Genomic DNA, 12103 nt, shown 5'->3' on the forward strand with positions numbered 1-12103 from the left:
ATGCTCTGGCCACCCTGGCTCCTTGCCATTCCTTAAACAGTCCATACCCCTTGGTCTGTAATGGGCTTTTCCCAGCTCTTCATAGACTGGGCTTTCCCCATGCTTCAGATTGCAGCTCAAGCACTGCTTCTTCAGGGACACCTTCCCTGGTCACCCAACATCATGTGGGCCGTGACCAGTATCCCTCCATCACACTCTTCATTCCTCCATAGCAGGTACCATGATCCACAATTATCTCCTCTACTGGAAGGCTTTCCTATCACCTGTCTCCATCACTAGAACAAATAGAAGTGCTATGGGAGCGGAGACCTCATCTACCTTTTCACTGCTCTATTCCCAGTGCCCAGCGCGGAGTAAGGGCTCTGGACTGTTATTTTCGCCATCCTGGTTCCAGGACTTGCCTGATAAGGTTGACTTGTCACTGCCCTCTATACCACCCACTCTTTCGTGTGGCCACCAAATGAACACTACATCTCTAGGACCCGCTCCACTGCAATCCTGACCTTGGAACTTCCTCTCTCCCCAACAACTTTTCTTGGTTGTCACACCCCTCTGACTCCTCTCTCATCTACTGAAGCAGGCACACAGCGTGGTTAAAAGCACAGACTCTGGAGCTGAAAGGCCTGGGTTCAAATCTCAGCTCCACCATTGTCTGTGTAGGCTTAAGTAAGTTGCTTCTATAGCTCCTGTGTGCCTCAGTTTCCTGTCATTGAGTGATAATAGTTGCATCTATGTAACAGAGTTGTAGTGAAGAATAAAAGTATACACATTAAGTGCTCAGAACAGTGTCTATGTAAGTGGCTAATAACTTAATGGTAATAAATGTAACTTCTGGCTGGGCGCAGTGGCTCACCCCTGCAATCCCAGCACTTTGGGAGGCCAAGGTGGGTGGATCACCTGAGGTCAGGAGTTCAAGACCAGCCTGGCCAATGTGGTGAAACCCTGTCTCTACTAAAAATACAAAAAATTAGCCAGGCATGGTGGCAGGTGCCTGTGGGAGGCTGAGGCAGGAGAAGCACTTGAACCTGGGAAGCGGAAGTTGCAGTGAGCCGAGATCGCGGCACTGCACTCCAGCCTGGGCAACAAGAGCTAAACTCCATCTCAAAAAAATAAATAAATAAATAAATATAAAAAATAAAATAAGTAAAATAAATGTAACTTCTTATTAAGAATATACTCTTTGTTCTTATTGGCATATGCACTCCCCTAGGCCCTTCTCATTTGATCCCAGTTCATCAGATCCCTCCGTAATGTACCATTTAATGTGTCCTTCAAATCCCACCCAGGAGACCTGCATTCCCATGCCTGATCTGCCAACAACTTGATCTGAATTGCATTCCTCCCCAGACCATTGTGTCCTGTTGGAGGAAGATGATCTGGAAATTGTGTTCTCCTGGGCTTTACTGACTGCACACATCTTTACCAGCCTTCCCCTCCTCTAAACTGCTTCATCACATAAACTGATTCTAAATGACACAGTTACCACCTTTGGTCACATCCACAGATGAGATATAAGAATTGAGGGCAATATGTAACTCTTCTCAATACCCCAGAGAAGTCAACACAGTATTCGGAGTATAGCAAACACAGTCTCTACCTATTAATTGGCACTGGTCACCCTATCTCCTCTTAACTGTACCTTTTCCCTCAAAAAAGGGAAGCGTCTTTATAAACTGCACCCCGCTTACTTGCTTAAACTGGATCCTGCGGTGTGAGGATCAGTGATTTCAAAACAAAAAGCTACTATCTCTTGTTCAAAAACAACAGGAATCCTCTTTACCCCTAACTAAGCCCAAGACACAAGGATAGGATGGCAGCAGGTATGCCTGATTTCCAGAGTTAGCCAAGTCATGTTGGATTTATTGGTATTGAGTTCCAAATAACTAATATGTAACATAAGCTCTTTGTGGAATTTTCTTGTACTCTGGGAGAGGGGGATCAACTTTCCCAAAAATTGGACACTCCTAGGGAGGAATTCAGGGGAGAAAACAAATGGAATCCCATGGACTTAAGTATTTTCCATAAAATCAAAAAAGACAGACTAAAAAGTCTAGATATTCCTTTAACAAAGCATCATCTATAAAATATTCAGGCAGGGCACGGTGTCTCAAGCCTGTAATCCCAGCACTTTGGGAGGCTGAGGCGGGCAGATCACCTCAGGTCAGGAGTTCAAGACCAGCCTGGCCAAAATGGTGAAACCCCCTCTCTACTAAAAATACAAAAATTAGCTGGGTGTGGTGGTGGGCACCTGTAATCCCAGCTACTCAGGAGGCTGAGGCAGGAGAATCACTTGAATTCGGGAGGCAGAGGTTACAGTGAGCCGAGATAGCGCTATTGCACTCCAGCCTGGGCAACAAGAGTAAGACTCCGTCTCAAAAACAAAAATAAATACAATGTTCAATAGTATATGTTGCTGTTTTCTTTTTCTTAGTATATATTCATAACAGAAAGGTCTAGAAGCTACAGAGGCAAACAACAAACTGACCTATCTTATGACTCTGAAATAAATATGCCAAGTCATTCGTTTAGAATTCTATTGGTTTCATCTTGCACGGATTTTTGTGGCCTTTTGTGCAAAGGAAGGTCAGCAGAGTTCACTTCTCCTGAGGACAATTTCAGGTTTGCATAAATGAGCAAGTGTCCAAGAACCTGGAAAAATAAGTCCTTTTGCTTTGGTTTCAAAATGAGGCCCCATAAAAAGTTGCATGTGTTTCTCCTTTCCCTTCTGGAGGCTGCTCGCAGAAGATAGGTCTTAAGCTTCCCAAGTCTGGCTGGGGCATTTCCTCCCCGCTCTTCCTTTAGCAGAGGTGCTGTGCCTCCTGCCCTGAGGACAACACATTCTTCTCATCTTTTTCAGGGGCAAAGCCTGTCCTCTCACACACATGGGACCCTTTCTGACCTACCCCCAGCATCCTAATCCTCTTCATGTGGAGTATAGGGAAGGGAAAAAGGACTAAAGTCCCTCCAAAGACTATTCTGGCATGTTTCCAGAGTCTCATTCTGCAACAAAAGCAGACACCAGGTAGGCTTCTTTCCAGGGCATCCGATTCCTCCTGGTGAAGACTTGTCACAGGGCTTCTTAGTCCCACTCTATTTGCTGGAAAAGGGAAAGTGATAGATCCAGAGCATCCAAACAAAAAGGACACTCTTTTATTACAACAAAATAAGACTGCAAATCTCTACCCTGGAAGTAGCGAATTACAAGAGAGGTTTAAAAAAAAAAAAAGCAAGAGCAAGTTACAAAGAAGGGACTTAATTTGGACTATTGAAATTTCATTTCTTTCTTCAGTGAAAGATAAATACATAGAAGTAACCTTTCTTTACTAGTCTCAACATCAAGATGTAAGATTATGTACTAGGTATGTGAAAACAAGGTCTGTATTTATGAGTATCTGAAAATAATGGCGGTCAACAGGCCTCAGATCACCAATTTTACAGGTTGGGTTCACATGCCATGTAAAAATCTAGAATCTAACTGACGGACTCTGAGACATGCACAGAAAGTTATCTACAAGTAAGGAGGTAGCCACGGATAAGACTATGCTACACTACAAAAATGTGGTTACTCAGGTTCATGGCATCTCAGTAGAGGGATGTGCAGAGCACCCATTCACTGAATTAATACTTAACATCTAAAGTTCTGCAGAAATCAGGGATTGCAATTTGGTGACAAAAATATCTTAAAATTCTTTAATAGGATGGTGGTAATAAAGTTTCCAATCAACATGGTGAGCTGAGGTGACAGGGAAGGGCTCTGCCTGTTTCAAACACGTGGAAAAACTGAGGGAGAGATCATTAACAACTAAGAAAATACTAAGAAAAAAATCAAAATCACAAGAAATAAATCCCTGGGCCAGAACCAAAGATAGAACTTAAAGTCAGATGAGAGAAAGTTAAAGCTCTGAAGATGTAAAAGGCTATCAGAACATGAGACAGGCTTAGTGTGTAGGGGCTGAGATCCTGATGAACCCTGGAGAACAAAGGGTCATATCTCACCAACAAGAAATCAAAATTTAAACGGCTCCCACCTAGAGGTATGGCATCCAAATACAGAACACCCATGAAGCATCAGGTCCCCAAGCCAAGAAAACAATAACATTAGGCTGGGCGAGGTGGCTCACGCCTATAATCCCAGCACTTTGGGAGGCCGAGGCAGGCGGATCACCTGAGGTCAGGAGTTTGAGACCAGCCTGGCCAACATGGTGAAAACCCATCTCTACTAAAAATACAAAAATTAGCCAGGCATGGTGGCAGGCGCCTGTAATCCCAACTACTCAGGTGGCTGAGACAGGAGAATTGCTTGAACCCAGGATGTTGGGGGCAAGCCCCCCAAAATCTGGCCATAAACTGGCCCCAAGACTGGCCATAAACAAAATATCGGCAGCACTGTGACATGTTCACAATGGCCCTAACGCCCAAGCTGGAAGGTTGTGGGTTTACGCGAATGAGGGCAAGGAACACCTGGCCCGCCCAGGGCGGAAAACCGCTTAAAGGCGTTCTTAAGCCACAAACAATAGCATGAGCAATTTATGCCTTAAGGGCATGTTCCTGCTGCAGTTAACTAGCCCAACCTATTTCTTTAATTTGGCCCATCCCTTCATTTCCCTTAAGTGATACTTTTAGTTAATTTATTATTTATAGAAACAATGCTAATGACTGGTTTGCTGTTAATAAGTATGTGGGTAAATCTCTGTTCGGGGCTCTCAGCTCTGAAGGCTGTGAGACCCCTGATTTCCCACTTCACACCTCTATATTTCTGTGTGTGTGTCTTTAATTCCTCTAGTGCCGCTGGGTTAGAGTCTCCCCGACCAAGCTGGTCTCCGCACCGGGAGGCAGAGGTTGCAGTGAGTCAAGATCGTGCCACTCCACTCCAGCCTATGTAACAAACAGCAAAACTCCGTCTCAAAAAAAAATAAAATAATAATAATAACAATAACACTGGTCCAGAAGCCAGGACACCCATGGGGCACTAACTGAGGAAAATGAGAAAGTGGGGGATTTGCACAATCCTAGTTGTACAGGACTCCCACATAAAACAACCTCTACTGAAGAGACTTACAGTGAAAGCTTAACACCAAACAAGAAACAATTTACCAAAAGAGACAGTCGACACAACTGGCAAAACCTGTGCCCAAGAGCTAGAAATAGAAAAGTAAATAGCGGTTGTTCAGGAAAAAGTTACCATGAATACAACTAAAGCTAAAGAGAACCATGTGTGTTGGAAAACAGGATTTGCAAAAACTTGTAATATGCAAAGAATTTCTCCCCTTATCAATGCTGAGCTAAGTTTCTAAGCAAGTACTTCATTCATTCATCCATTCGATATATATTATTAAGCATTTATTCAGCGTCAGGCTCCAATTACTCCCTCCCCCTCAGTCGTGGCTGGCACAGGCTCTGAGGATGGTTATTATCCAGTTCCACCCCTTAGCCCAAGATGACTCCACAAATACTGGAGCAACTACCGTAGATATAATAGTGTCCTCACTCACAGAGGAGAGGAGGGAAATAGTACTGGAGTTCAGACAAATTATATACATGTGCCAAAATATAAAAGGAATTTAGGACACAAGCAAGCATCAAGAGGGAGATTTAAGAGCTGCAGGAACACGTGCTTCCAGCAGGGAAACCAGGAAAACTCCCTGGGAAAGAGAACGACTCTGCTGCACCCCATGGCAAAAGCAGGATTTTAGCGGGTTACCAAAAGATGGATCCACATACCAGAGGGGAAACAGCAGGAGCAAAGGCACGTGACCCAAAGGCACAGGGTGTACCCTGGCAGGAGCAGCCCACACAGACTACTATAAATGTCTACTGAATAGCAATAATACTAACAACAATAACGATCATTCATCATGAGTAATGGGTAATAAAAATAAGGAGCAGTGAAAGGAAACCTAAAGGACTCAAATACCAGGGTGACCTTTTAAACTAGTGGGGACACACTAAACATTTTCAGCAGGGAAGCGGCATGGTCAGAGCCATGCCTCAGTTAGATTCATTTGGCTACTATGCATGAGTTAAGTTTGCAGGCAAAGAGACTGCAGGCCAAGGTCTGGAAGCTATTGTAACAGTCCAGATCCTCACAGCTGCAGTTGCAGTGGTGGCTGCAGTCATCCAAAGGAATGGATAGGTACAGACAAAAATGAACAAATATGCAATTTTTATTAGCAATTCCTGGAATATAGTCATGTGTTGCTGAACAACAGAAATACATTCTGAGAAATGCATCGTTGGGCGATTTCATTGCTGTGCAAACATCACCATGGAGTGTTCTTACACAAACCTAGATGGTACAGCCTACTACACACCGAGGCTAGATGGCACAGCCTACTACACACCTAGGCTAGATGGCAGAGCCTAGTGTTCCCAGGCTACAAACCTGTACAGCGTGTTACTGTACTGAATACCGCAGGCAAATGTGATACAATGATAAGTATTTGGGCACCTAAACATATCTAAACATAGAAAAGGTACAGGAGAAATAGGGTCTTATAATCTTATGGGACTACTGTTGTACATGCAGTCCATCATAGATTGAAACATTGTTATGTGGCACATGACTCATTTTAAAACTGGAGTTTTAACATAAACACAAATATCTGTATGAAAAGCCTGGCAAGAACAGCTCTAGCTATTTACTTCTTATTTTCGTGCTCAATGGATGCCATTCTGCATTCCATCCAAGAGCAGCACCCTGTCCTGAAAGGAGATAGCCTGGAAAGGCAGAATAATCTCAAAACAGAAAGAAAGAAAATTAAAACTCCAGTCTGACATACAAGCCTCAAAAACAATGTAGAGCACAGCAGTATGCACTGCTGACCCTTGACTGATGATTCCGACCACACCTGATGATAAAATTATTAACTATGGCATGTTGCTGTTGTTTTTTACTGAAATCGTTTCCCTTCTCCAGGGAACAGTTGTGGCCCTGTTCAGACACAGGCCTGGTGAGCAGGCCCCAGGTCAAATTGGCTTTCCTGCCTTATGTGAGGGCAGCAAGGGCTGCTAAGGTTAACATTTCTTTCTGCTATGAGTAGCCTCTGCAGAACGTCAGCTTGAGGTTTCAACAAGCAAATCTTATTTATTTATTTATTTATTTATTTATTTATTATTTTGAGTTTTGCTCTTGTCGCCCAGGCTGGAGTGCAATGCCACAATCCTGGCTCACTGCAACCTCCGCCTCCCAGGTTCAAGCAATTCTCCTGCCTCAGCCTCTCTCGTAGCTGGCATTACAGGCGCCCTCAAACACACCCAGCTAATTTTTGTATTTTTTTTTTTAGTAGAAATGGGGCTTTACCATGTTGGCCAGGCTGGTCTCGAATTCCTGACCTCCGGTGATCCGCCCACCTTGGCCTCCCGAAGTGCTGGGGTTACAGCACCCAGCCAAATCTTATTTAATGATCAGGAGAAGCAAGCTACAAAGGAGTACGCAGAAGGGAGGAATGGAGAACAAATCAAATAAAATAAGTAACAGTGTTCATGCCTTGGACTGAGGGATCAACACCGGGAAAAGAAATCAGAGATGGAAACCATGAGAGGGTACGAACCACACTCTAGTTCCAGGGAAGGGCATTTCAGGCAATGTGTTATGCAGATGTGTGCCCCCGGAAAAGCAGTCACTCACTCTCCCTCCACCAGAAAAAAGGCACAAAGTGACAAGCTCAGCAGAGGCCTCGGGGCAGCAATCTCTACGCTGAGCACAGGTAGCACGTTTCTGGCACCCAGTGAGGAGAAGATAGTTTTCTCCTAAAGAGCTTTTAGTAAGAAACAAGTCAAATGAAAATAAAGAGCTTCCTTGCAATTACTGGACAGCACACACCTCTGCAGCTCAGGGCCCTTCGGTAATCTCTGGAAAGGCACTCAGCTGATGGCCAATGTGTCATTCTCTAAGATGAAAAAAGGAGCAAGTCCACATATGTGAATTTTTCAGATAAATTTACTTCTTCCACTCCAAGAGCCCAAATGTTAGCATTTTAACCACTGTGAAAGAACGATGTTCTCAAAATATATTAGCTTGAACCATATGAAATTAACCTTCTGTATGTCAAAAATGCTCAAGTACTAACAATTTCACTTGGATCAATGGCAGTACATGCCCTTCAACTTTCTTCTACATAGGGGTGGGCAAATTTTTTCTTAACAGGCTCACAGATATTTTAGGCTTTGAGGGCCAAGAGACAAAAAAGAGATTATGTAGGTGCTTATATAACCATTTAAAATGTAACCATTTAAAAATATAAAAACCACCCTCAGCTCCTATAAAAATAAGCATGGGCTGGATCTGACCTATTGGCTACAGTATGCAGATCCCTGTTATACAGGGTACAGGTGTAAACTTTTTTCTGATGATGCTCACTATGAAAATTGATAATTTCAGAGTAAATCTGTAACACCCTTGGAGATGCTAACAATATCTGAAAATATGTGAAGAGCTGTTTACCCCAACACTGCTGGCTTTAATGCTGGTTGTTGGTCCGAATCCCTATTCTATTATCAGCTATCCCTCCCTACTGCTATAAAGTGCCACTGCTTTTAACTGTCTGACTTACTTTACAAACAATTGTCTGGGTGAGGGCTTGAGGGTGGTTCTAACTTTGCTTTCTTTTTTCTTTTTTTGAAACAGAGTCTCGCTCTGTCACCCACGCCGGAATGCAGTGGTGCAATCTCAGCTCACTGCAACCTGTACCTCCTGGGCTCAAGCAATCCTCCCACCTCAGCCTCCCGAGTAGCTGGGACTACAGGCACATGCCACCATACCTGGCTAATTTTTGTATTTTTTGTAGAGACAGGGTTTCATCATGTTGCCCAAGCTGGTCTTAAACTCCTGGGCTCAAGTGATCTGCCTACCTCAGCCTCCCAAAATGCTGGGATTTTTTTTTTTTTTTTTTTTTTTTGAGACAGAATCTCGCTGTGTCGCCCAGGCTGGAGTGCTGTGTCGCCCAGGCTGGAGTGCAGTGGCGCGATCTCGGTTCACTGCAAGCTCCGCTTCCCGGGTTCACGCCATCCTCCTGCCTCAGCCTCCCGAGTAGCTGGGACTACAGGCACCCGCCCCCACACCTGGCTAATTTTTTGTATTTTTAGTAGAGACGGGGTTTCACTGTGTTAGCCAGGATGGTCTCCATCTCCTGATCTTGTGATCCGCCCGCCTCATCCTCCCAAAGTGCTGGGATTACAGGCGTGAGCCACCACGCCTGGCCCCAAAATGCTGGGATTACAGACTTGAGCCACTGCTGGGATTACAGGCATGAGCCCAGCCATAACTTTCCTATAAAGAAAAAAACTGAGCTGCACAAGGTAATAGGACTTAAAGATGAATATGAATAAGCATAATTACAGAAAGGATATGGGGGCAAAAGCACTTATGGGGAATTACCCCAAATTTCCCCTGACTTGGAGCCAAAATTCCACAGGTTCCAAAGGAAAGCAACAAAAACAAATAAATATCTATACAGCTGCTCCAAGGCCAAAAGACTGCAGGGAGCAAGAAGTAAGTCTGAGACACACTGCCCTTCATAGAAATAAACATAGATCATTAAAGGGAAGAATCATTTTTCTCCCAGGTTAATCAGGGGTAACGACAAATAGGAAAAGGCTACAACTATAGCAGTTCCCAAAAGACTGCTGGAAAAACTTTAGTGTTGTGAGACATCGAAGGTCATCCCTGAGGGAACTGAAAGAGTTTCCTCCTTTGGAGAAGGCTAAGAAGTAAGAGCCAGGAACTCCCTCCCTAATACATATTAAACAGAGACATACCCAGGGGACCTCTCTTCTGGGTCCATGAATTTTGTGATTATAAAGGAATTCAAACAATCACTGTGAAACGTTTTTAATTTATGGCATTATTATCATTTCAAATGTTAACATATTGTGATGAAAAAGGAAAGCTTAAAAAAATAAAAGCCTGTAGAAGAATAGATACATTAGACCAGGCATGGTGGCTCATGCCTGTAATCCAGAAACTTTGAGAGGCTGAGGTGGGTGGGATCTCTTGAGCCTAGGAGGTCAAGACCAGCCTGGGCAACACAGCAAGACCCCATCTCTACAAAAAATAAACAAAATTAGCCAGGCACGGTGGCACATCTGTAGTCCCAATTGCACCGTAAGCTAAGGTGGAAGGATCACTTGAACCAGAAGTTCGAAGCTACAGTGAGCTGTGTTCATGCCACTGGACCCCAGCCTGGGCAACAGAGCAAGACCCTGTCTCAAAAAAGAAAAGAAAAATTTGGAAAAAAAGAATGGATGCACAGAAACAGAAAAAGGAGATTGTTGACATACACTTCTGGTCTTATAGGGCCACTTAATTACAAAAATCCTAATTTAGATAACATTTCTTACCATGCAATATTTAAAACTTACCCTAGAGCAATCCATTCTCTTGTATTTCTAAACATCCTTATTTAAACCTTTAAAGCTTTTACCAATTCAGTACTCTTGTGATATTCTACAATGAAAATTAAAGAGAAAAAAGCAAGAGAGAGACTGATCCCATACATACATGAGCTGCCTGGACAACAGTGAGCCCATAGCGACAGTCAACACATTGGCAGAGGCCTCGGCAGTTCCCAAGTCCTCAGGAAAGACTGAGATGGTTAGCTGTGGTGGGGGGAGAAAAAAAAAAGGTAGAAACAAAACAGAGACTTAGGATAATGACAGCTTTTTTTTTTTTTTTTTCATTAAAATGCTAATGATGACCACATATTTCCAGATAACCATGTTTATGAATTATTCATAGTCGCATGCAAGATGAAGTCTCCCTGTCACCGCAGGCAGGCCCAGGGCTTGCTGATGATTAGCATGCAGGCCCTGCAATAAGTGTGACAGAGGTGCAGGTCACTGGAAGGCTTGACCAGGGCTGGCCTTCTCTGACCCCCATCAAAAGTCCAGGCAATCTCACCTGCGTTTCCCTGATGCTTTTCTATTCTTCCTTAACATCAAGGAATAGCACTGCCTGGCTGTTTGCTCTGACATCTGAACTAATATCCTATAAAACTTTAAAAGCTTGAAATGAGGAAATTTTTTTTTCTGTATTGGAGAGGTTAGATGTCATGTTGATTGGAAAAAAAAAAAAACTTTTCAGTGACATATAACATATAGAAAATGCACACACGACAATGGACAGCTCAATGTATTTTCCGAAACTGAAAATACACCAGATGAAAAACCAGAACATTATCAGCACTGCAGAAGTCCCCTTCATGCTCCCTTCTAAGGGTGACTCCTACGCAGAAATTATTTTTGCCCATTTTTGTGGCCATCAAGTCGATTTACTGTCAGTTGATTTTTTATTTAAAAAACATATGCAGAACACCTACTATACACCCAGCACCATGCTAAGCACTGTAGCTACAAAGATGAATAAGATACCATCTCTATCTCTAAGGAAAGTGAAGTCTAGGGGAGGCAAAGGATGCACACAAACTGGCCACCCTAGGGCCATGGGATGAGCATAATCATTGAGATTCATATCAAGCATGGGCGTCTAGTCCAGAAATGGACAGGTCAGGGAGGCCTTCCAAGAAAAGGGGATGCCTAGCATGTCCTAAGGCTGGGTAGGAGTTAGCCGCGCTAGGGATGCGAGACAAGGCGATGGAAAAGGGAAAGGTAAGAAACCGCATGGTATAGTCCAGAGTTGCTGGCCACTCTCTAGAGTGAGGCCTGCAGAGTGAGGCCAGAAAAGAAGCCTGGAGCCAGATGGCAACCATGTACATGTCTCAAAGAACTCTGACTTTATCCTGGGTGTAAACAGCCACTGATGGGTCAGATCTGGGTTTTGGATGCATGATTCTCTGGGTGGATTTGAAGGGGGCAGGGTAGAGGCAGGAGACCTGTTCGGTTGTTACAATCATTCAGGGAGAAGGAAAGGGTGGAGATTAGGGCAGTAGAAGTAGGTAGAGAAGAGGAGAGAAGAATTAGTACTTGGAACCATCCGGAAGTTCAAAGCAGAACACTAGGTTTATTACACATGGGTGGATGGTAGTGACAACCAAGGTAGAGAACATAGGAGAAGAAATAAGGAAGACAAGGAATTTAGTTTGGGGCACTAGAAACTGAGGCATCAGTGGCTCACGCCTGTAATCCCAGCACTTTGGGAGGCCAAGGC

The 12103-nt window shown here is 43.8% G+C and overlaps 1 protein-coding gene across 48 annotated transcripts in view, besides 1 other annotated feature; it reads right to left on the reverse strand.

Moving 5' to 3' along the window:
• The window catches only part of APBB2 (amyloid beta precursor protein binding family B member 2), a 404516-nt gene that overhangs the window by 245051 nt on the left and 147362 nt on the right, over window positions 1-12103 (reverse strand). For 30 of the 48 annotated variants that reach the window (XM_047450190.1, XM_047450184.1, XM_047450180.1 and 27 more), the window contains one exon: window positions 10499-10596. The exons of the other annotated variants lie outside the window; for them this stretch is intronic. The gene's annotated coding sequence lies outside the window, so the exon portion shown is untranslated. The remainder of the gene's footprint in view (window positions 1-10498; window positions 10597-12103) is intronic. 48 annotated transcript variants of the gene reach the window in all.
• Window positions 8594-9094: an enhancer, noted in NCBI's record as "H3K4me1 hESC enhancer chr4:41065688-41066188 (GRCh37/hg19 assembly coordinates)". NCBI's record gives its function as "activates a minimal SCP1, AML or CMV promoter by ChIP-STARR-seq in primed H9 embryonic stem cells {active_cell/tissue: H9 hESC(primed)}" and the evidence as "EXISTENCE:reporter gene assay evidence [ECO:0000049][PMID:30033119]".

This window comes from Homo sapiens, chromosome 4 (assembly GCF_000001405.40).
Source record: "Homo sapiens chromosome 4, GRCh38.p14 Primary Assembly".
NCBI classification, from domain to species: domain Eukaryota; kingdom Metazoa; phylum Chordata; class Mammalia; order Primates; family Hominidae; genus Homo; species Homo sapiens.